This window comes from Homo sapiens, chromosome 17, assembly GCF_000001405.40.
Source record: "Homo sapiens chromosome 17, GRCh38.p14 Primary Assembly".
NCBI lineage: Eukaryota > Metazoa > Chordata > Mammalia > Primates > Hominidae > Homo > Homo sapiens.
Window position 1 is genome coordinate 20,447,592 of NC_000017.11, and position 24,678 is coordinate 20,472,269.

Genomic DNA, 24,678 nt, shown 5'->3' on the forward strand with positions numbered 1-24,678 from the left:
TCTGGGGCCACCTGTCTCACGTGAGTTTGGCCAGTACAGATGTGGCCTCTGGGAACACAGGGTGTCAAAGCGAGTGTGGGCCACAGCATCCTCGCCCAAGGGACTGAAGACCCTCCTGGGTTTGGAGACAGCCAGGGAAGGCTTTTTAAGAGACTAGACCCATTTCCTTCTCCTGGTCAGAACCAAGGAAGGAGCTCAGTGGCGGCCTCTGGGGTCCTGGCAACACGTGGCTCCCAGCTGGGGTTTGGCCTGTGCCTCCTGGGCCAGGCCCAGGACCCTCCCCCTCCCCTCCTCCTTCCAGCAGCAGCGTCTCAGGTGGCAGGAGAAGGTGCAGTGCCAACTTCAGGCTCCAGACGTGCCCTGCCCTGCGTGGCAGCCGTGCATCTCAGCAACACGGCCAGGAGTCCGCTCCGGACCAGGGCTTCCCAGCTTTCATGTGCGGGCCTCATCTGGGGTCCCGTGAAGACAGAGACTCTGATCTCGCAGGTGGGGTGGGGTGCGGGATGCTGCGTTTCCAACAAGCTCTCAGTCGCTGCTGCCGCCGCCACTCTGAGGACTACACGGGGGCCTGAGGAACTGGATTCTTGCTGGGCCAAGCAGGATGTGTTGGCATCACGTTGACGCGGAGCTGGGCTGTCTGGCGGTGGCTCAGTGGCTGGCAGAACCCCACACATGGACACTGAGCCACTTTTCTCATGCGAGTCCTAACCCTATTGCCAGGGAGACCCACAATGGAACACACACCCATACGGTGCTTCGGGTGGGCCTCTCCTGACACCCCTTCCCCAAGCCACCTCCTCCCACTGGGATGCCAGGTCCGAGGAGCCAGCTCTGGCCCTGCTGTGGCCCTCACAGGCTCTGCCCCAGCCCGCCTCCCATCTCGGAGGCATGGGGCTGTTTCCTGGGGTCCCCCATTACCACCTTTCCTGTGTCCGAGACTCCTGCCCAAAAGACTAGAGCCCCAGCCTGCTTTCTCCAACACCCTCATGGGACGGTGGCTCTCTTCTCATAGCTCCCCTAGACACTGGCCCAGTGGGGGCTCTGTGTGGGGGCTTCAACCCCACATTTCCCTTCCACACTGCCCTGGTGGAGTCATCCCTGAGACCTGATAATTCTAGACCCTGTGGCCACCAGAGGAGCCCATGCATTGGCTTCCTTTTTTTTTTTTTTTTTTTTTTGACAGAGCCTTGCTCTGTCACCCAGGCTGGAGTGCAGTGGTGCAGTCTCGGCTCACTGCAACCTCTGCCTCCCGGGTTAAAGTGATTCTTGTGTCTCAGCCTCCCAAGTAACTGGGACTACAGATACCCACCGCCACCACCACCATGCCCAGCTCGTTTTTCGTTTTTTTGTTTGTTTGTTTGTTTTTGAGATAGAGTTTCACTCTTGTTGCCCAGGCTGGAGTTCAATGGCGCAATCGCGGCTCACTGCAACCTCCACCTCCCAGGTTCAAGCCATTCTCCTGCCTCAGCCTCCCAGGTAGACGGAATTACAGGTGTGCACCACCACGCCTGGCTAATTTTGTATTTTTAGTAGAGATGGGGTTTCTTCATGTTGGACAGGCGAGTCATGAGCTCCCAACCTCAGGTGATCCACCTGCGTCAGCCTCCAAAGTGCTGGGATTACAGGCGTGAGCCAGCATACCCGGCCATTAATCCTTTTTTAATTAGGAGGTGTGAGGTCAGGACCCCCTGCCCAAAGGGAGTCCATGCTCTCCCATCCCACTCCTCTCAGCAGCCCCTCCGCCTGATTCCACAGATTCCAAAATGTCTCCAAATGAATTAAAGAAGCCACAGTCAACCCACATGAATGTGCCAACAAGCATTTTCATTTCTTTATTTTAAGGACACTGGGAAAGGAGCCAGTCCCCTGAAGAGAACACTCTGGTCAGTTGGTGGAGGCCAGTGGGAAGCCATCAGACCTGCTTTCCAGGAGGGGTGAAGGGTTGGTGCAGGGTGCAAGGTGAGAGTGAGGTTAAAGGTCAGAGAGGAGGGGCTGAGGAGGCCATCTCCCACCAGGAGCAGACAGCTGGTGGCTTGAGACTGGGGTGGAGCTGCGTGGGGGATGGGAGGGGACTGAGCATGGGGCTTCATCTTCACTGCCCGCTCCTCCCCTCTCCCTGGCTGTGCCCGCCTTCTGGGATTGTAGGATTCCAGCAGCTGGCGCCCCAGGTGCTGCTGCGGCTGAGGAAGACAATCCCAGTCAGCTGCCTTCTCAATTCCAGGGTGGCTGTAGCCAGAAGCAGGACCAGATAAGGACATGGCCTCTGCATTAAAGCCCAGATCCCAGGCACGGTTGGAAAGGCTGGGCCTGGGAAGTGGGGATGATGAGAGGACCCCGACTGCCCCACACCCCAGCCCCCGGCCCCAGGGCCAGGGAGCCGCCTATGTCTGCACGTGGGTCAGCTGGATGTCGCCACCCACTTCCAGTTTGTTGATGGTGGGCAGGTTCCTCAGGCGATGGTAGTATTCAAACACGTGCTGACCATCCACGGCCACCTTGAGGCAGTGAGCTTCACACAAGATCCACACCTGTGCAGAGATTATGCCGTTTGCACTACACTTGGGAAGTCCTCCACCCTCACTGCAGCCTCCTCTCTCCCTCCCTCCCTCCCTCCTCAGTTGTTAATAAGCCCCTCACCTGCACTCTATCCCCACTGAGCGACCGGCTCTTCACTAAACAGGCTGTGCGTGCTCCTTCCCCTGTACTGTTCCCTGGCCTAGAATACTGTTCCCACGACATCAGGGACAGGAGCACTGGCCTGTGCCATCTGTATCCCTCGGACCCAGCACACAGGAGTGCTCTGGGCCTGGGCTCCTGCAGCATCAGCCTCCTAACTTGTCTTTTCCACCCCAATGCCTTCTCCATGAGGCAGTCAGGGTACAAATGTTAAAACCTCCTGCCCTTTGCAATAGCTGACACTCTTAACACACATGCCATGTGTAAGGCACTGTCCTAAGCGTGCTACAGATACTGCCTCATTCCATTCTTACAGCTCTAGGAGATTCATATGATTATTAGCTCCATTTTGTAGATGAGGAAACTGAAGCACAGAGTAGCTAAGTCACTTGCCCGAGGTCACACAGCTGTCCACAAATCAAAGAATGTTGCTCCCTGGCTCCATGGCTGCAAAGCCCTACATCAGTCATTTTCAACTCTGATTGCAGAGTGTAATCACTTCAGGCATATTTTAAAAATACAAATGCCCAGGCTGACCGCCTCATTGGCCTGGGCTGGGGTCCCAGCACCTATATGTTCTTTGTAAGCTCTCTGGGTGATTTGAATGTGTAGTCAGGGCGGAGCACGCCTGCTGCTGTTCCTGGAGAGGCCACACCCGCACCTCTGCATGTTGGCCCTAGCTGCCCCTCCCAGGCTCGCTCTATCTCATCGCTCTGTTTTGCTTTCTGCGTGGCACTGTTGTTATCTGCAACAATCTGTTCATGCTTTAGTTTCCTTGTTCCTTCCCCCAGCTAAATTGTAAACTCTCTGGAGGAAGGACCCTATGTGTCTGCTTCATGACTGCGCTCCCAGCACGTGGAGTGCTTCCTGCACAAAGCGGGCGACAGTGAAATCGTTGAATGAGTCAGTGAAGAAATGAATAACACCTCCTTCTTGGGTCTGATTTGACACTTACTGACTGTGTGACCGCAAGCAAGTAACCTGCACTTGTGAGTTTCTTTCCTCATCTAAAAAAGCAGATCCCAACGCTTCCTTCATGCAGGACAGTAATAATTATTAATAATAATGACAATAATTTTTTGGCCACCTTTTCTTCTGGGCCCTCATCCCAGAGGCATCAGCTTCCATCCTGTTCAAGGTGCCCCAGACCTCCTTTACCCCCTCCCCGTGTACCCATAGGAGCCTCCTCAAGCTCCAGGCTGCGGCGCCTTACCGAGAAGCTCTGGCCTCGGACGAAGGGCATTTTTCGGGGCAGACTTCGCTCCTCAGACCCCCAAGAGTTGTTGATCTGGGTGTTACGGACCACAGCATTCTCATCAAAACGGGGGTTCATGTGGAAGGCGATGTGGCTCCCAGAGCACAGGTTGATGTGGAACCTGCGGTGGGCAGCCTACCTGGACCTTTGTCCACTGAGTTCTGAGCCCCATTTCCTCCCCATCATCGCCAGCCTGCCAAAAGCCAGGGGAATGGCTGGAATTACCTTGAAGGGCTCTCTCTTCCCAGAGGTCACTGGAGCCTTTGGCTTACCTCTGAGCACTGGGCAGGACAGTGCCTGACAGGATGATGGACTTGGATGGGTACAGCCCTCCCGGAATGGTGGTGATGAAAGGCATCGGCTGTCAGAAGGACGGGGACAGGTCAGCCAGTGGCAGCCAGGGCAGCCGCCACATGGAAGGGGAAGATTGTACCATTTCCCATGAATTTAGGCTGTCAGCTGAGAAGAAGCCCACGATATCTTTACTTGGTTCCATAAAAGCCAAAGGAAAACTTTCCGGTGCTCCTCAAATTAATGGGCTTAGATTAGTGTCATGAAAGGAAATTTGGCCAAACACAGAAAGAAAGACTCGTGGGGTGAAAAGGGAGGGCCATGCAATGTGCTCACGTTGACACGACAGTTTTAAGGTTGAAAGCTCCTCTCCACAGTCTTCTAATTCACTGGGACGCTTTGAAGCCCTTCAGCTTACCATTTTGAAAGCCCTTCGCTTTTCATTTTTCAAGGCCAGCGGATCCCCCCGTAGCGGCCCTTCATCCCTAGCCTGCCCACCACAAACAGAACCTCTGCCCTCCCTGAGAAACCACTTACATAGGCAGGGTGGGGGTACATCATAGGTGGGATGGCGGGAGTCTGCTGAAAAGAAACCAGGAAATTCAATGGGAGAGCGCATGTGTGCGCGAGCACTCACCCACGCGCACCCACGCATTCTAGAGGGGGCTCCACTGTGAGGCTGACCTCATGAGCCTTTGGCCCTTGGACTCTCCCGTAAACCTCCGTTTTCATGTTAGCCTTCCTGGAACTTCCTGCCGTGTTCCCAGACCCCACCATGGTCACCTGCCCCTCAGCCCCTCCGCAGGCAGCCCCACTAATGCTAAGTTCCCGGCCTGATTTGCACCAGCAGGAGAAGAGCTTAAGCCTGTGATCTGTAGTGACATCCCGGGGACCCAGGAGGCAGGGCCAGGAACCTCACATCTGGGTGCTGGGGCCACTGCACTCCCCACTTGGTGACAGAAGGACCAGTTTCCCTCCCAGTCTCTAGGGAACCTGCCTCTTCCACCACTGGATAAATCCAGAATCTCTGCTGTCCCAAGGATAGTTTTAACCACATGTCACCTGAGCCAAGGACTCAGCCCCAGATGTCCCCACCCTCCTTGCTAAACCGCTTTCTTCCCAACTCTAGGGCTCTAGGGAGTTTAGTTCTTGGGGAAGGAGGGCACTGTGCAGCTGTGAACTGATCAGAACTTGAAGACTTACAGAGAACATCTGTCCAGAGGCGCTCTGCACCGTGTGGATGACTGTCTGGGTCTGGAAGAAAGAAACCAGGTCTCACCCAGGCTCTCCTGAGTAAAGACCACCCCAGCTCCCACCAGAGGGTGCCACACGGCAGGCACCCTCCAGGGGCATAACCAGCCCAGTGGCCCCACAGACCCCACGGAGGGTGGGTCCAGGGGACGAGGGAGAGGCAAAGGTTAGAACCCTGGAGAAGACAGATGGGGACGCTGGTGGCTCTGGCCCATCTTTCCTCTCGGGGAAACGTCTCTCAGCCTAGCCTCCCTTTGCAGGTGAGAGAAGTGAACGTGGGGCATGGTCTTCCGTGGCTGCCCATGGAGTGGCAACTCAGGTTGTTCCATCACGGCCAGCCAACCACATTCACCCACCAACCTCGCCAGGCCGGGTAGATGGTCAAGGGCCTGGCCTCTGCCCTCCCCACTCCCGATGGGAGAGGCCCAATGCCTGGCCCTGCATCCTCCATTAGCCCAGAAGAAGAGCCAAAATCAAGAGGATCCAAAAAGAAAGCAAGAGACTTACAATGGGAGCTGGGTTGGCAGGCCGCACGCTGGGAGGCTGGAGGGGTGAGGAGAGTCAGAACGGTGGTTATTGCGGGCACCACAGAACGGGGAGAGACGATGGCAGAACTCCAGGGAGGCTCTTGTGCTCAGAAATGCCTCCCCAGACACACCCACCTCCCTCTTGCTCCCAAGCAAGCCTTCCTGAGCCCGTGGCACCCAGATTTTTACCCTCAGGTGCACAAGGCTTTGGGGTTGAGGGGTAGGGTATCCCCATTGGTTCCTCTCGAGAGAGAGGAGGCTGGGTTTGATAGAGACCTCATTGCTGTCTGTAGCTCCCACAGCCAAGAGCATTACTTCCGGTGCCATATTTCACCCGTAAGCTGAGAAGTGGTATTTGTTGAAGGCCTATTGTGGGCCGAGTCCTGGGCTTCAGTGCTTTCCAAAGAGGGAAGCAGCCTCAGCTCCTGTGTCCCTGGTGAGGCAATGAGGCTCAGAAAGATTAAGCAACTTGCCCAAGCTTGCCCGGGTGGAAGGGATCAAATCCAAAATGGCAGCCAATTCTGTCTGACTGCATCCAGCACACTTTCTGTCATCCCTAGGGCCAGGGCCAGCGCCAGGGCCAGGGCCAAAGTTTGGCTGCCCTGCGAATGTTCCCTGGGGCTCCACCAGTCCTGAAGTCAGCGTGGCAGGAGGCAGGTGCACTGTCTGTACCATCATGGGCCATAAAAAGGCTACATAGACAAAGCGCCCCTCCTCCCAGTCCCCACTGCTTGAGTGGCCAGAGGAAGGGCTGCCCACCTCCTTGTCGTGGATCCTGCCCCACCCAGTAGACTGTTCTTGCCCTGGCTGGTATCCCATTCTCCCTGGCTGCGAAAACCACATTCCACATTCATCCATTCTTCGAGTCCCTAGTGAGTGCCAGGCACTGTGCAAATGAACGACCCACAGTCCCAGCCCTCTGGGGCCTCATGGGCATAGGGAGATGGGGGTGGAGTGACAGGGACAGACACGCAAACAGTTACAATGGGGTGCTGTGAACTGGCATGGCACAGATATGTACAGACTCCGTGGGGGCATGGGGGGAGCATCCAACAATATTCTGGGCAGGGAGGACTCCCAGAGGAGCGACACTTTGGCAGAGCATGGAAGGGCGATTAGGCGTGTGCTGAGGGCAGGCTGGCAGAGGGTGCTTCCGGGACCAGGGACAGCATATGCAAAAGCATGGTGGCCCGAGAGGGCCTTGAGTGAGCCGTGGAGGTTGCATGAGCTTCGTGGGTTGGGGGTGAGGCAAGGAGGTGGACTGGGGCCAGACTGGGGAGGAATTCGTATGCCCTGCTGGGGAATTTGGGCTTTGTTTGAAGGGCTGGGGACTTTTAAGATTTTTAAGCAGGGAGAGAGTGTGATCAGATTTGCTTATAAGAAGGTCACTGTGGCAGCGGTTGGGTGTGGGGGGTGGGGAACTGGACCCCTGTAGTCATGGTGAGGAATCCCAGAGGCCTGGGCCACATCGGTGGCTTTGGGAGGGAGATATGTTGGTGCCTTGGAGAGACATAAAGAAAGGGTAGTGAAGAATCCAGGGCAACACCCAGGTCCCCGGCTCTGGGTGCCCAGCAGACAGAGACAGGGAACTCTTGAGTGGGCAAGATGTGGCCCATAGGCCCTGGTGGCCTGCTGGCTGGGGCCAGCCTCTCAAACCCTCGGTCCTTCCTGCTGTCTGCTCAGCCACCCAGGGCCTCTGTGTTGAACTCACTTTTTGTCTGCGCCCCCTGGGCCTGGGTGGGAAACAGACAGGCTGGGAGAACGGCACCGTGGAGAAGGCAGGCTGAACGGGGACTGTGCGGGGATTCTGTTAAAACAAAAGGCACCGGCCGGTGAGGAGAAGCATTAATAGAGCCAAGGAGAAGCCGAAAGGCAGATGCAGGGGCAGGAGGCAGAGAACAGGCAGGCAGGGGGATGCAGCAAGGGGGTTAGGGCCACACGGAGGCGAGAGCGGAAAGGGCCAGGCTTCGGTGAGCAGCGCAGGGGGACAGTCTCCCTCCAGCTCTTCCCTCCCCTTCCACCCGCAGGGGAGAGAGTCAGGGAAGGAGGGAATGAGAGATGAGGACCAAAGGGTGAGGAGCCCAGATTTGCTGAGGGCCTACTGTGCACTTCGCTCATCTCAGGGAGCTCCCTCGAATGCCAAAAGGGTAACAGCAGCTCCCATCCAGCTGCCGGTGCCCTGTGGGAATGTGGGCCCAGCATACCCTAATCTTCCCATTTTTCACGTGGTGTTGGTATCTCCTGACCTTCTTTAGTTTTATTTATTTTATTTTATTATTCAAACAAAAAGATTTTAGAGATGGGGTCTTGCTATGTTGCTCAGGCAGAACTCTAATTCCTGGGCTCAAGCGATTCTCCTGCCTCAGCCTCTTGAGTAACCAGGATTGCAGACCTCCACCACCATACCTGGGTCTCCTGACCTTTTAGATGTTGGCAACGCATTCAAAGTTTTTAAAACACAGAGGTCACACAGACCCTGGTGTGGGCCCAGGGGCGCCATTGTGTGACCTCTGATATCTGTCTCCTCAATGAATCACACAACCACCCATGGGGGCCAGGCAATGACCATGCTCATTCTACAGATGACGAAACTGAGGCTGAGAGAGGCAAAGTTGCTTGTCTAAGATCCCACAGATGACGAATGGCAGAGCTGGGAATTTGAACTGGATTCAGTTTGGTTCTTGAGCCTGGGCTCTTTCTAGAACAATATGCCCTCCTTACCAGGATGGAAATTGACGGATGAAGAGAAAGGGGCAGCTGAGGAGTCTGGGAGACCAAGGCAGGTGTTCCAGACAGAGACAGTGACACAGAAGGAGGGGCAGAGTGACAGAGGAGAAGGGGCGGGCAGGTACTGGGACAGGGAAGCAGAGGTTGTCCCCAGAGTGACCTGGGTAGGAGATTGGCTTGGGTCCCCCCAGCTGGGCCCTGCATCCCAGCCCCTGGGACCGGTGCCAGGTGGACAGTCTGACCTGGAAGCTGATGTAGGACAGCTGCACAGAGCCATTGACGGAGATGGTGTCCACACGGTGGAAGGGCACGCGGTGGAAGTACTGCACGAAGAGGCTCCCGTTCACCATCACCTGCCAGAGGAGAGCACGTATTTCGGGGGAGGTGCCCCAGGCCGGGATGGGGACCACCCCTGAGCTCCTGGTCCCTCCTTCTAAAAAATGAAGACCTGAGTCTGGTCTTCAGTGTGGGGCCAGTTACAGGGACGTGTGTGTGGCCCGAAGTGCATCAACCGGAGTCTCTACTGGGCTCCAGTCGGGCTTTCCATTCTTCTGGTTGTTTCCTTCCCCTTTCTTCTCACTCCTCGATTTCCAGCCTGGTTAGGAGGCCATATTGTTCCAGAAAGAGCCCATGCTCAGGAACCAAACTGAATTTCCTGGGGTTTCATTTATTTATTATTTTTCCTTCAACTTTTTTTTTTTTTTTTTGAGATAGAGTGTCACTCTGTCAGCCAGGCTGCAGTGCAGTGGTTCAAGCGATTCTCCTGCCTCAGCCTCCCGAGTAGCTGGGATTACAGGCATCCACCACCACACCAAGCTAATGTTTGTATTTTTAGTAGAGACGGGATTTCACCATGTTGGCCAGGCAGGTCTTGAACTCCTGACCTCAAGCCATCTGTCCTCCTCACCCTCCCAAAGTGCTTGGATTATAAGGGTGAGCCGCCGTGCCCAGCCCCTTCAACTTTTATTTCAAGTTCCAGGGTATGAGTATAGGATCTGCAGGTTTGTTAACTAGGTAAATGTGTGCCACGGTGTTTTGCTGCACAGATCAACCCTTCACCTTGGTATCAAGCCCAGCATCCATTAGCTAATCTTCCTGATGCTCTCCGTCCCCGACCAGGCCCCAGTGTGTGTTGTTTCCCCACTTGTGTCCATGTGTTCTCATCGTTCAGCTCCTACTTATAAGTGAGAACTTGCGGTGTTTGGTTTTCTGCTCCTGCAACGGCTTCCAGCTCCATCCATGTTCCTGTAAAGGACATGATCTCATTCCTTTTTAGGACTGCAGGGGTATTATTTAAATATGCATAAAATGCTCACGGGGAGCAGAGGAGAGGTGACATCGGGTTGCATACTGAATGGATGGGAACATCCTTATCTCAGATAAGCATATTCAGACTGAGTTACCCACCGGCTTCTCAAGCCCAGAGACCTACTGTGCTTGCAAAGGTAATTTGCAATGTGCTTACAGAACTATAACCGTAATAGACTCTGGATAAAGGCTGGAACAATGTCGCTGAAAAATAAATGTTACCAGGGACCTGGAGAGGAGGTATGGTGATAGCAGAGGAATGGAATGAGCTTGGAATTCAAAGACACACAACACCTAACAGCAACGTGATGACTCCTCTAGTTCTTATTTTCAGAGTAAAAGAAGCAGGAGGTGCACCTGTAGATTCAGGTGAAGGTGCGTAAGGAGACTACACAGCCATGGGTAACACCCTTACAAGGAAATGGTCATGTTATCTGTATGGTGGTGTCACTCTGGCTGAATGTCAATTAAAGTGGTTACTTAAAAGGCCATTCACATTCACCTGATAGGGCTGGGAGTCCCGTGGGCGAGAGGTGGGGAGGGGATTCCTGCTTACCTTGAAATCTGAGCTCTGCACCAGGAAGCAGAGGTCAAAGGGCATCCCCTTCTGGAAGGGCATGTGCATCTTCCTCTCCTCGGGCCCCCATCTTCCTTTCTGCCTCGTGTTGCACACCACATACCCTCCGTCTTCAAACCGAGGGTTGAAGTGGAAGGCAATGTCGTTTCCACTGAAGCCCGTCTGAAAGTCCACAGCAAACCTAGGCCCAGGAAAAGCAAATAGTCTTCTGTGGCATGGATTATTGCCAGTGACAGGCACAGGAGGGCCTCGGTGCCTCTGCCCTGTGTTTGTCTGGGATCTTGCATACAACCTGCGTGGCAGAGACTGCTTGGTTGGCATCGTTTTTGTTTCTCTAATTTGGATCCAATGTGTTTTTGTGCGATTATTGCATTTTGCCTTTACAGCACGATTTTCTAAACATAAGTAGAAAATGGCTAAGGGAAAGTGCTGGCATTAGCAAACAAGAAGCATAGGTCCTGGAAAGTGATTACCAGTTGGTAACAAAGATGGAAGTTGTTAAGCACACCTAGAAGAGAGAGGCTTCTGTGCCAGTGGACACTTGTTGGAGGCCAGCACATGCCTGATTAAGTGCGAAAGAAGAGAACAAATGTAAAGAGCATGTGAAATCGGGGCCGGGCGCAGTGCCTCACGCCTGTAATCACAGCACTTTGGGACGCCAAGGTGGGTGGATCACTTGAGCCCAGGAGTTGAAGACCAGCCTGAGCAACAGAGCGAGATCTCATCTCTACTTAAAAAACAAAAAGATATATATATATATTTAATTAGCTAGACATCATGATGCATGTCTATAGTCCCAGCTGCTCTGGGGGATGAGATGGGAGGATCCCTTGAGCCCAGGAAGTCGAGGCTGCAGTGAGCTATGATCGTACCACTGCACTCCAGCCTGGGTGAAAGAAAAAAGTCCCTGTCTCTAAAGAAAAAAATAAATTAATTAAATGAATAAATGGAGAAGATTGCATTTGAAATATCACTGCATGTATTTTTTTCCTTTGGAGACCTTCAGCTTCATTCCTGTGGCCCTTTGGAAATTCCTGCCCCAAGGAAGGGAGAGACAGAAAGCTCCTGAGAGGAGAGGGCCCTCTGAGGTAGGATCTGTCTCTGTGCAACAGGATGGGAGTGGGAAGCCCTCCTGGTGCTGGGAGGTGGGGGAAACAGAGGGAGAGGGAAAGAGGAAGGGGTGGAAGATCAGAGGCATGGTTCTGATTCCCCCGGTTGGAGGATTCAGGGGGATCAGGGCCTCCCTGCCCTTGGCATCTCCTGGGGGCACTGCAGGCTCTCAGAGAAGTCCGACAGCAGGATAGCAATGGCGGAGGAGGTCATCAAGAATCTAGGTGGCGGAGCTGAGGTTGAGCTGGCATCTACGAGGCCCAGAGGGTCTTAAGAGAGGTCCACTGGGACTGAGGCAGAGAGGCTTCCGAGAGAGAGCCATGAGTCCAGAGGCTCTTCTGTGGGCCCCGCAGACTTCAGCAGGCAGCCACCCGTGGTCCCTCACTAAACCAGGAGAGAGCTGCACACCTCTGTGCCACCCAGTCAGGATGCCTCGGCAGGGGTCAGCCAGGCCTGCGTGAGGGTCGGGGGCCCTCCCAGCCACTGACAAGCCACGTGAGCTCCTCTCTGTTCCCAGACAGCCCACCTTGGGAGGGAGGAAGGGGTGGGAAACAGCCCTGATACAATGTTAGTATTTTGAATGGACTTAGTAGTTTCCAGAAAAGGCCTTGAAACCGAAAGAGACCAAATTACTTCGGATGTCAATTTTCAGTATTTTCATGTCAGCAGAAGGAGAGCTTCAGAGTGGATGAAAGCAGTTATGGGAAACGGAGGAAGTTTGATTTTTGCAACTCTCAGTCACAGTGTGCAAGGTTCAGCCCAGAACATAATCATCCAACTCTGACCATCCCACTCCTTCCTTAGACCTTCAGCTCCCAGGGCCCCATTCATCCTGGAGTCCAGGTTAATGGCATCCCTGGGTGCAGGTTGTGCCTGTGGAGTGCTGTCCTGTGGCATGGGTTAAGGATGCATTGGGTCTCCCCTGCGCCAGGCACGTGAGCTTGGATGTTGTTGTTTGAACTAACCGAGGCTCACAGGCACAGTGGCTTTACTAAGGGACGAGGCTGGAGTGAAACGTTTCCATCCATATACACACACCTGGTTCCACTGGAGCTGAGAACGGCCCCATTGACAGTGATCTGAAATCCGTCCTGGAGACCCCCTTGGATAGTCCCAGAAAAGGGGACGGCCTGCAGGGAGAAGACATGGGGCCTCAGTCAGGTGGCCGGCCTCCTGTTTGCTCCCCTTCGGGGCTAGTCAGTGGCTGGCCTGGGTGTGACCGCACCATGCGAGGGGCTAGGGTGCAGCTGTGACCAGGACAGAAGGAGTCTCAGCCCCACGGGTCTTAGGGTCCTGTGTGGAGGCAGACACAAATCCAATTAGTTACTCAGACAGTCTAAGCTTGTGATAAGGAGAATCCTGGCCCTGAGAGGACGCGACAGGGAGCTGAGCTTGTGTGAGAGTCTGAGAGGCAGCGGAGGCCACACCAGGAACGCTCCAGGCGGAAGGCCTTCCTTCCAGGCAGGGAAGTAGCAGGCAGACGCCCTGGGCTGGTAAGGAACTAGGTAGCAATGGGGCTGCTGGACCCCATGCCAAGCTCCCAGCAAAGTGCCCAGCGCCCTGGCTGGGGACTCAGGAGGCCCAAGGGAACAAAGGGACCCATCAAGGGTCTGCAGGTTCCACCGAGAGGGTCACCAGAGAGTGTCAAGAAGAAGGCATGCACCTCTCCCCACCACCACCATATAACAATGGCCACCATGACCTTTGCCCTCCTGACCACCTTCAGCAGAGCCTCTTCCCAGATGCCCTCCGCAGCCCCGAGCCCCAGCGTAGTTTCCCCACCCATCCCAGGCCCCGTGGGCAAGCACTTTGTCAAATTCTCTCTTCCGCGCCTCTTTAAAGGAGCTATGGGCCATGGTGAGGCATGCATCGTTTTGGAGTCAGGCGGACTCCAGGTCTGAATCCTAACTCTGCTGCTCCTGACCTGAGTGGCCTTGGGAAGCCTATTTCACCTCTCTTTGCCTCAGTTTCCTCATCTGTAAAATAGGAAGGTGTTTCTCCTACTGCATATGATTGATGATTTTGTGAGAAAAAGCCTGTGGTAGAAGAGACTGGCACAGAGGAGACGCTTCACCACTGTCACCCACCCCCACCTTGGTCTCTCTGAGCAAAATTCACAAACTGGTACTTCCAATCTTCAAAGTTTATTCCGAAATGCCTCATATCCGGTGTGGTTCTATAACCTGCATTAAAGCACAGTTCTATCTCATGGCTGATTTTCACATTCTTCAAGTTTTTAATGTCTTCTCTAATATCTCCTTTAGGTCAATTTCCTACACAAATTAAATGCCTAAAGAAGCCAGGCAGGTGATGTGTATGAGTCAGATGGCCAGGTAGGGAGTGGTGGGGACTGTGGCAAAGTAGACGTCACACGCCTCATCTAAAAAGTCAACATCTTCTCAGCACTAACCAATGATTACCATCTGGGCTTAGTATTGGCAGAACTTCCAAATTTTTAAGATGAGACAGAAACCTGAATTTTTTTTTTTTTTTTTTTTTGTAAAACTTTCTAATTTCTTGGGGGAAATCTTTTGTCAAAAAGGATTATGTAAAAGTTCCTGACTGGGCACAGTGGCTCACATCTATAATCCCAGCATTTTGGGAGGCTGAGGTAAAACAATCACTTGAGCCCAGGAGTTTTAGGCCAGCCTGGGCAACATAGTGGGACCCCCATCTCTACAAAAAATAAAAAAATTGGCCAGATGTGGTGGTGCACACCTTTAACCCCAGTTACTTGGGAGGCTGAGGTGGGAGGATCACTTGAGCCTGGGAGGTCGAGGCTGTAGTGAGCCACGATTGCACCACTGCACTCCAGCCTGGGCAACAAAGCGAGACCCTGTCTCAAATGAAACTCCCCAAATTCCCACATTGTAGAGATACACAATGAAATATTTACAATGGAATGAAATCTCTGGATTTGCTTCCGCATATCTGAAGGTGGGAAGAGAAGCAAGCGAGGGAGGGTACAGGATGAAGCAAGATAGGCCTGAGTTGATCATTGTTGGAGCAGAGTGATGGGTGTGTGTTGTTGATGGTACAATTCTCTCTGCATGTTTGAATTTCCTATAATAACAAGTTAAAGTAAACACTGTGTAGGCCAAACAGAAAACACCCACTAGCCAAATTCAGCCTACTGGTCACTGCTTTCTGGTCTGTATTGTTGAGTTATGTGACCACACAGCACCCTGGGAAACCCATCCTAGCTCAGTGTACACACCTGGCACCGTGAAAGCCCCAGGCAATCTGAGATCTGATCCAGATAGTCTCTGCTCCCCATGGATTTGAGGGGGTTGTCTTTTCTTGCCCCTCAGGTCAGGTCTGAACTCTGCCATTAAATACTTTGGTGACCTCAAGCAAATCACAGCTTCTCTGTGTCTCTGACTTCTCTTTCTTGTCCCTGTCTACACCAGCGGTGTGGGGGAAGGAGAGTCAGCCTGATCCAGTTATGGGCCAGCATGGGCTAGGATTGGGAAGCCTGTTGTCCCTGAAACACGTCTGTGGAAGATTTTTCCCCTTGCCTGTTTGTGGCAGCCTGTGATTCCCTCCAGAGCCTTTCATTCTATCATGAGAGACAACGCTGAAAATACACACCCTCCTGGGAAGCATGCGGCCTCCACTCAAGCGTATTCACACCACAGCACCTAGAATTGAAGGCAGAGAGTGATGGACATGGGCTCGCAAGTCCACACAAGGCTTAACTAAGGAAGCCAGGAGGGAGAAAGACCAAGTACAGGTCATGGGGGCAGGACAGGGCAGGCTAATCTCCAAGGCAACAAGTTCCCCAAAAAAGTTCTGTGAGGTTTCAAAATGTCTTAAATGGCACCCCCAATTTCTGAAAAACAAGATTATTTTATTATTTATTTTATTTTATTTTATTTTGAGATGGGTTCTCACTCTGTTGCCCAGGCTGGAGTGCAGTGAGGAGTGTGATCATGGATCACTGCAGCCTCCACCTCCTGTGCTCAAGTAATCCTCCCACCTCAGCCTCCCGAGCAGCTGAGACCAAATAAGTGCAGGCCACCAAGCCATACCCCACTAATTTTCAAATTTTTTTGAAAAGACCAGGTCTCGATATGTTGCCAGGGCTGGTCTTGAACACCTGGGCTCAAGTGATCCTTCTGTCTTGGCCTCCCAAAGGGCCGGGATTTCAGACATGAACCACTATGCCTGTCCTGAAAAATGAGATTTTAAATTGAATATCATCCAACAAACAAGGTTATTCATTGCAGCATTATAACACAAAGGATTATAAAGCAAAGCATTGGAAGGAGCCTAAAAGTCTTCCAACAGGGAAAAGGTGAAATAAATTAGGGTATTTCCATATAATAGAATAAGTTCTGTGTAGCTTTCAAAAGAAAAGAAAAAGAAGACGGAAAAGAAAAAAGAAAAAGAGGAAAACTCTGAGCACCGATATGGAATAATGCCATTTGCATAAAAAGTGGGTAGGGGAAGGCTATGGACTTGCATTTATTTATTTATAGATAAAATATCTCTGGAAGGATTTACAAGAAACTTATAATACTGGTTATCAGTGGGCGACCCCCCAGAAACATCCACATTCGAATCCCCGGAAACTGTGAATATGTTGTAGAAGGGACTTTGCAGATGTGATTAAATGCATAATTTTGGCATGGGGAGATTGTCTTGGATTATACAGGTGGTCCCAATGTAATCACAAAGGTCCTATAAAAGGGAGCAGGAGGATCAAAGTCAGAGGTAAGAGATGTGACAACAGAAGCAAGAAGCTGGTTTTGGGGGTTTTGTTTGTTTGTTTGTTGTGTTTTTTTTTTTTTTTTTTTTTTGAGACAGGATCTCATTCTGTCACCCAGGCTGGAGTGCAGTGGCATGATCTCAGCTCACTGCAGCCTCCACTTCCCCAGGCTCACGCGATCCTCCCACCTCAGCCTCCCAGGTAGCTGGGACTACAGGCATGCACCACCATGCCTGGCTAATTTTTGTCTATTCTTTGTAGAGACACAGTCTCAGTTTGTTGCCCAGGCTGGTCTCCAACTCCTGGGCTAAAGAGATCCTCCTGCCTCAGCTTCCCAAAGTGCTGGGATTACAGGCATGAGCCACTGCACCCAGACAAAGCTGCTGGTTTTAAAGATGGCAGGAGGGGTCATAAGCCAAGGCAGGCAGGCAGCCTCTAGAAGCTGGAAAAGCAAAAGAAACAGATTCTCCCCTGGAGCCTCCGGAAGGAAACAACCTTGCTCACACGATGATTTTAACATCTGCCCTCCAGAATCATTAAGAAAGCAAATTTGTTGTTTTAAGATTGGCCAGCCAAGGCTGCTGTGGAATTTAGATCCGTGTGTCCAGGAAACCCAGGAAAACAACTGGACCTACTTTTGCTCCGTAGGGTGCAGGAGGATGGATTTTTGTGTTGGATTTGTGGTCCCATGGGCCTGGGCTCGCCTCCCAGCTCTGTACACTAGCAATTCTGACACTGGCCAAGTCACTTGACCTGCCTGTGCCCCACTTCCCTCCTCTGAATGGCAGGGCAGTAACACCACCCGACAGTGTTCTGGAGAGGACTGGGTGCAATGCTGTGTGCTGAGTCCCTGGCTGGCAGCATTCTGGAGAGGACTGGGTGGAATGCCATGTGCTGAGTCCCTGGCTGGCAGCGTTCTGAGAGGACGGGGTGCGATGCCATGTGCTGAGCCTCTGGCCCATGTCGGCCTTGACAGTGCAGCTCTTTGCATGGAACAAATCAATCCCTCTGCTGAGTCAGAACTTGCTCTCTGTTCCTGGTTGTGCCCAGAGACCGGGGACTTTCCCTCTTCTTCCTACCTGGAAGTCAAAGCAGAGCTGAGCCCTGCGGACCAGAATGTGGGCAGCCTCATTCTGGACTCAGCATCACCAGAGGACACCAAGGCCTGGCCCCAGGAGTAGGGAGCTCAGCCTGGCTGGCCGAGACTGCCTGCCAGCTGGAGCCAGTACGTGGCCCTTAGCCAAAGTGCCCTGTTGCCTCAGAGGCTCCACGGTCCTGCTGGCCACCTTTCATGACACTTTGATTTTAGCCTTCTGACCTCCAACACTGTAAGCACAAATGTGTTGTTTTAAGTTGGCCAGCTAAGGCTGCTGTGGCATTTGGATCCATGTGTGTCCATGAGGGCTCTGGGGGTGACCGGGAACATTTATCCTCACAGCAACCCCGGCCACTTTTACAGATGAGGAAACTGAGGCACAGAAAAGTTCAGTCACTTGCCCAAAGCTACACAGCTGGTCGGCAACAGAGCTGGGATTTGAACCCCAGCACCCACGCTTCTAACCACCACACAGGCTTCCTCTCATGAGGAAGCTCGGAACGTCCTTATTCCTGGCTCTCGCAGTGCTTCCTGGGCCACACAGCAGGTGGTTCCAGCTTCCCCCCAGCCCTCCAAAGAGGCTGGGCTAGATGAGGCCAGACAAGAAGTGGGAGTGAGGTTTCCAAGCCAGGCCCTCATGGCACTCAGCCCTCCTCAGCAGGACAGTGAACCGCGTGACCTTCCCCCACTGTCGGCATGTGGAGAAAGCGTGGCTCCGACTGCCAGATGGGTCACCGAGTGAGGCTCAAGTGTCCCAACCCAGGGGAGCCCCCGTAGGGTAGAGGGGAGCTCTGGACACCTGTGGGGGCTGCACTGATCGTCTTTCTTGTCTGAGCTCCAAGGCCCCGCTTTAACTCTCTCAAACTCTCTGATGTGCATAGGAGGATTTTCCTTCTGAATCCAAAGATTAGAAAGTAAAAACCAGTTACCAGAATAATAATATGTCAGAACCTGGAAGAAGCTCTGGGATCCCCTCTCTGGCAGAAAACCAGAAACGGGGTGACATGCTCAAGGTGGCATACGCTGACTCTAAGGCTCGCCCAACACCGGCAGCCCGTTCCAGCTTCCCCCACTCCCTCTATGCAGGTTCTACCTTGGGGGCTTCCATAGGGTGGCTGAGGGGTCATTGGTGACAGCCAGGAGGAAACAGGCCTCCTTTCTCCATTCTTCCTCTCTGGAGTCTAGAAAGCAGAGCTGAGCTCTGCAGACCAGAACATAGGCAGCCTCATTCTGGACTCAGTATCACCAGAGGGCACCCAAGCCCGACCCTGGCCTCTGCTGAGGTGGCCCCTGGCAGCTTCCCTGCCCTCAGCACCCTGCCTCTGCCCACCCTCCCCATTCTGTCTCCCCACTCAGGAAGGGCCCATCAGCCCACCCACTCCAGCCCCTCGGGAAGCTCTTTGCCAAGGCAGGGTGAGATCCTGTGACAGGACCCAGCCCAGGACACAGTCACCCCTGAAGGCTCCTGGGCTCCTGGGGCTGCCACTCCCATCTGGGGGCATTTGGCAACTGGCCTTTGCCTCCCTGAACCTTGGATTTTCCGTGAATGAAGGGGACTCATAAACCTCACAGAGTTTCAGCAAGGCACCTGCAGCCCTCTGACCCCACACTGCAGGGACAGTCCCTGCCTCCGTCACCTCTGAGACTGTCCGTCTACAGATGCCCTGACATGCCTATGCCTGGTTAACTCCGCCTCACCCTTCAGAGCACAGACACCTCCTCGGGAGGCCTTCCCTGCTGCCCCCAGACTCCCAATAACATGAAACACTCCCAAAGCACCTACAGTGTGTCAGGCACTGTTCAAACACTCTAGATACACTACTTCCTTAATCCATATCCCAACCCTGGGAGTGGGGGGCTCAAGTATTATTCCCACTTCACAGATATGGAAACTGAGGCCCAGAGACCACCAGCCAGTAAATAGCTGGACCCAGGGAGGCCAACTCCACAGTACGCACCCTTAACTACCATGCCGGGTAGCATCCTTACTGTCCCAGAAGCATGCTTGCTTCCTCTTTACACAAACCATCCCACTCTACACCTCTTCCCCTGAGCGCACAGGACAGGACACGACAGCTCAGCCAACACTGTCAAACCCATGATTCATGGGAGGAGCATCCCTCCAGGCATGAGTGAGCTCAGCATGGCACAGCTGTGCCAGGACGACCCCCACTGACATTTCTGCCCTGCTTGTGTTCTCTTTGGGATGCCCCCACCCCTGTCTCCTGCCACCCAGGAGTTGCTTCCTCAGAGCCCCATAACTGTGTCCCCCTGGCTGAGGCAGCCCTGTGCCCACGGCCCTGGAACTCACTGGGCTCAGATAGGGAGCCTGGGAACCGCTGAAGGCCATCTCCACCGCCTCTGTGGCCACCGCTGCCTTTCACACCTGCCAGGCAGTCCTTTGCAGAAGGAATGACTTAACAAAGTAATAGAAACCAAAGCAACTTGGCTGTTATTCAATGGGGAGGAGCCGGCAGCAAGAGGAAGTGGGTCCAGAGAGAGAAAGGTAGGGTGTTGGGTGAACTGGGGTGACACTCATAGAGGGAAGTAGGCACTCCCAGCCCCAGTGACCTTTCCCTCCTCCCTCTCCTGTGCTCAACCCCAGCCTGAAGCATATTTGGTTCATAGAGGTCTACAATGCTTGACCACACTGACATGACAGTGAGTTGCCAGATGACACTGCCCAGAAGTATGTGGCTGGGTGTCCTAAGCATGCTTGGCCACTGGTTCCAGAAAATAATGGGGCTGGGCATTGCCTGTGCACAGGGTGCTTGTGGGGAAGGGCGGCTTCAACCCATTTTACATATAGAGAAGCTGAGGCTCAGAGTCTGAGGGACATGCCCCAGGTCACACAGCTAATTCGTGGCAGCCTGAGCTATATGAAGATTCTCAGAATCTTCAAGAAGTATTTCTCCTCTTTAAATTTCTATTCTTCATGTTAAAACATAATTATGTAGAAGGGAATATTTTGCATGAAAAACACTATAATGAAGATTTTTATTCTAGAGTATGGGGTGCCCAGGAGCTTCTGATCCTCCCCCTCAGTGAATCTCTCTTTCTTCTCTTCTCCATCCTTATTTTGTGAGCTTTAGGATGGGGAGAGAAGTCTTGGACATAATAGAACATTTCAAGTGACATGGGAGTGGGAAGGAACATATGGCATGAACTGCCTTTAATTGGCTTCAGCACCTAGTTAGGGGAAATAATTGGCTGAAACAGAGAATAACAGGATAGGCTGCAGAGGGGAGAGGGAGCCATGAAATAAACTTACCTGAAGTTGACCAGGTCCCAACGATGTGCTGGCGAGAAGGCCCAGAACTCAAGCTGGGGATGGGCGGGTAAGGACCATACAGGCTCGAGGGGATGGCAGGTGCCCCAGGCCATACGTGAGTCTGCACCTCTCTTCCTTCCTGTGTTCTGCCTAGATGCACTAGAATTTGCAGACGAACTCCTTTGAGATGTTCCCATAGACTGAGGCCGTGTGTGTCGTCTGCACTCACCATCCCATTATGTTCTGGATCAAGTAGAATTTGACCAAGTTAAGGAGTAGACAGTACAAGGGGAGCAGAAAGGAGAGAAAAGAAGGGAAATTCTTTGCAATCCTCTCGAACACCAGGAATATTTTCATCACGTCACGTCATTTGTAGCAATCACCAATTGATTGGGATATGGAACAACTGGAACTATCATTCATAGCAGACTTGAGTGTAAAATAATCCAACTTAGAAAAATGGGCAGGGCGTGGTGGCTCATGCCTGTAATCCCAGCCCTTTGGGAGGCTGAAGCGGGAGGATCACTTGAGTCCAAGAAGTTGAGACCAGCCTGGTCAAGATAGGAAGACCCTGTCTCTACATATAATTTAAAAGGCAAATTAGCCAGGTGTGGTGGTGCACACCTGTGGTCCCAGCTATGTGGGAGGCTGAGGTGGGAGGCTCACTTGAGCCCAGGAGGCCGAGGCTGCAGTGAACCCTCATCACGCCACTGCACTCCAGCCTAGGTAACAGAGCAAGACTCTGTCTCAAAAAATAAAAAAAATAAAAAGAAAGAAAAACTGCTTGGTGAGTTGTAATATAGTCAAATATCTACTTCAAAGTTGCTGGCTTTTCTACTTCTGAAAAATTACCCAAGAGAAAGGAAAACATATTTGTCTGTTTTTAAAAGCTTTACTCGTCATAGCCCCAGGCTGGTAACAATGCAAATAGTCACCAACAGAAGAAGGGAGAAATGAATTGTGGTTTTCACACCACAGGGTGGCCCTCAGCAATAAAAAGGAGCTAGGCCACAGGAAACGTCAATGAGCCTTGCAACTGAGCGGAAGAAGCCAGATCCAAACAGACACATGCTGTGAGAATTCCATTCGAGTCAAGTTGAACAACAGGCCAGAGTGGCGTTACCCTTGGGAGTCACTGACTGGGAGGGGCACGAAGGAGTCTTCGAGAGGCTGGAAATGTTCTGGATCTGGTTCTGGGTGGTGGTCCCACAGGTGTTTACATCCATTAACAACAGGCTGAGGCTGGGTGCAGCAGCTGACACCTGTAATTCAGCACTTTGGGAGACTGAGGCAGGAGAATTGCTTGAGTCCGGGAGTTTGAGACAAGCCTGGGCGGCATAGCAAGACCTTCTGTGTACTAAAAATCAAAAAAATTAGTGAGGCATGGTGGTGCATGCCTGTAGTCCCAGCTACAGGGAGGCTGAGGCAGGAGTATTGCTTGAGCCTGGGAGGCTGAGGCCACAGTGAGCTATGATCGTGCCACTGCATTGCAGGTTGAGTGACAGAGCAAGACCCTGTCTCAAAACAAAACAAAACAAAACTCAAACAGAAAACCAGGATCTGTACATTTTATTCTACCTAGACAATATCGCCATAAAATACTGCTAAAAGAAAAAATCTCCCAGAGCCCAAGGAGACACAGGCACAGCTAAGAGTTCCAGCAGTTTAGCACCTTAGCATCACCTTGAGCCTTGGAGGTGAGTCACAGTTAAGCAGCTTCACTAGTGAGTCCAGCCCATAAAGGAGGGCCCTCTGCTCCATGCCCTGTCTGGAGGGGCCCCAGTAAGGTCATACCCAAAGGCTGACATGTTTTTAGACTAATCAACACAGTAGGGAGGCACTTCGAGGCACAGTGCCAGGCCACTGAGAGTTCTGACTTCGGCACCCTTCAGTCACCACAATCCATTCCCAGTGGTTAGCTCTGGTCTTCAGGAGACTAGAAGCAGCCCTCGGGAATGTTCCTGCTCAGAGCTCTAGTGTTCAAAGTCACAGACCCTTCTCAGAGGCTCTCTCTTCTCTGCCCTAGAGACTGAGGGAGTCTGCCACCTCACACTCATTAGGATGCCTATGATTAAAAAAAAAATCCAGAAAATAACAACTGTTGGCCAGAATGTGAGTAAACTGGAACCCTGTGAAAACAGCGTGGCTGTTCCTCAAAAACCTCATCATAGAATTACTATATGATCCAGCAATTCCACTTCTGGGTATATCCCCCAAATAACCAAAAGCAGGAACTCAAAGAGACATGTGAACACCCACGTTTGTAGCAGCATCATTCACAAAAGCCAAGAGGTGAAAGCATCACGTGTCCATCAACGGATGAGTGGTCAGCAAAATGTGGGCCAGACATACAATTCAGCCCTAAAAAGGAAGGAAATTCTGGCATATGCCACAACATGGATGGTCCTTGAGAACATTAAGTGAAATAAAACAGCCATAAAAGAACAAGCACTGTAGGCCGGGTGCGGTGGCTCACACCTGTAATCCCAGCACTTTGGGAGGCCAAGGTGGGAAAATCACCTGAGGTCAGGAGTTCAAGACCAGCCTGGCCAACATGGTGAAATCCCGTCTCTATTAAAATTACAAACAGTAGCCAGGTGCGGTGATGAGTGCCTGTAGTCCCAGCTACTCGGGAGGCTGAAGCAGGAGAATCGCTTGAACCTGGGAGGCAGAGGTTGCAGTGAGCTGAGGTCGCACCACTGCACTCCAGCCTGGGCAACAAAATGAGACTCTGTCTCAAAAAAAAAAAAAAAGAAAAAGAAAAAGCACTGTATGATTTCACTTGTCTGAGATACCTAGAGTGGCCAGAATCAACAAAAGAAAGTAGAATGGTGGTTAGGGGCTGGTAGGAGGGGGAATGAAGACTTATCATTTAATAGGCATAGAGTTCTGGTTTTACAAGATGAAAAGAGTTTTGCGGATGGATGGTAGTGATAATTGTATAACAGCATGAATGTTCTTAATACCACAGGTCTACCACTTAATATTGGCTCTTGGCTAAGATCTTAGCTGAGGCCATTGACTAGAACACCTGCAAGTGGCTTTTCCACATGGCTTGGGCTTCCCCACAATATGGTGGCTGGAGTCCACGGGTGAGCATTCCCAGTGAGAGCCAGGTGGAACTTACATCCCTTTTATAACCTAGCCTCAGAAGCCATCCAGTGCCATTTCCACCACATTCTATTTGTTGAGGCAATCACATGAGCACCACCCAGGCTCAAGGGGAGGGGAAAGAGACCTCACCTCCAGACAGGAGGCAGCAAGAGGTTGAAAGAGCACCTGGGACCAGGAATATTTGGAAAATTCAATGCCTGCCGCAGACAATAAGTAAGTGCTGGACTCCTCTGGGCACTGGGGTACAGAGAGAATTGGACATAGTCCCAGCCTTAAGCATCTCATATTCCAAAGGGTAAGATGGATATACAGCTGGGCTACATGGCTTCAAGGAGGAAGTGCACAGAGATTTTTTTTTTTTTTTTTTTGAGACAGAGTCTGTCTCTGTCGCCCAGGCTGGAGTGCAATGGTGCCATCTCAGCTCACTGCAAGATCCCCCTCCAGGGTTCAAGGATTCTCCTGCCTCAGCCTCCTGAGTAGCTGGGATTACAGGCACCCACCACCACACCCGGCTAATTTTTTGTATTTTTAGTACAGACAAGCTTTCACCATATTGGCCAGGTTGATCTCGAACTTCTGACCTCAGGTGATCCACCCACCTCGGCCTCCCAAAATGCTGGGATTACAGGTGTGAGCCACCGTGCCCGGCCAAGATTTTTTGTTAAAGTTAATATAGTTGCTTATGTGCTGGACATCATTCTAGGTGTCTTACAATTAACTTTATGTCAGTTTTATGAAGCAGGCACAAATAATAATCCCCATTC

At 52.2% G+C, this 24,678-nt stretch overlaps 1 protein-coding gene across 2 annotated transcripts, besides 1 other annotated feature; it reads right to left on the reverse strand.

Annotated features, from left to right (window-relative positions):
- Positions 1-1,803: 1,803 nt before the first annotated feature.
- On the reverse strand, positions 1,804-19,948 carry LGALS9B (galectin 9B). Of its 2 annotated transcripts, none has more exons than NM_001042685.3 (11): positions 19,841-19,948; positions 12,761-12,852; positions 10,592-10,793; positions 8,970-9,080; positions 7,712-7,807; positions 5,981-6,016; positions 5,426-5,476; positions 4,760-4,801; positions 4,204-4,292; positions 3,890-4,052; positions 1,804-2,528 (listed from the first exon to the last, which is right to left on the reverse strand). In NM_001042685.3, exons 1-11 carry the CDS (start codon positions 19,877-19,879, stop codon positions 2,382-2,384), a joined length of 1,068 nt encoding a protein of 355 aa, NP_001036150.1. In that variant the 5' UTR covers positions 19,880-19,948; the 3' UTR covers positions 1,804-2,381. The 2 variants fall into 2 exon arrangements, with proteins under 2 accessions (NP_001036150.1, NP_001354221.1); NM_001367292.2 differs by having other exon boundaries at positions 4,760-4,804.
- Positions 2,197-2,696: an enhancer, noted in NCBI's record as "H3K4me1 hESC enhancer chr17:20353101-20353600 (GRCh37/hg19 assembly coordinates)". NCBI's record gives its function as "activates a minimal SCP1, AML or CMV promoter by ChIP-STARR-seq in naive H9 embryonic stem cells {active_cell/tissue: H9 hESC(naive)}" and the evidence as "EXISTENCE:reporter gene assay evidence [ECO:0000049][PMID:30033119]".
- Positions 19,949-24,678: the final 4,730 nt, after the last annotated feature.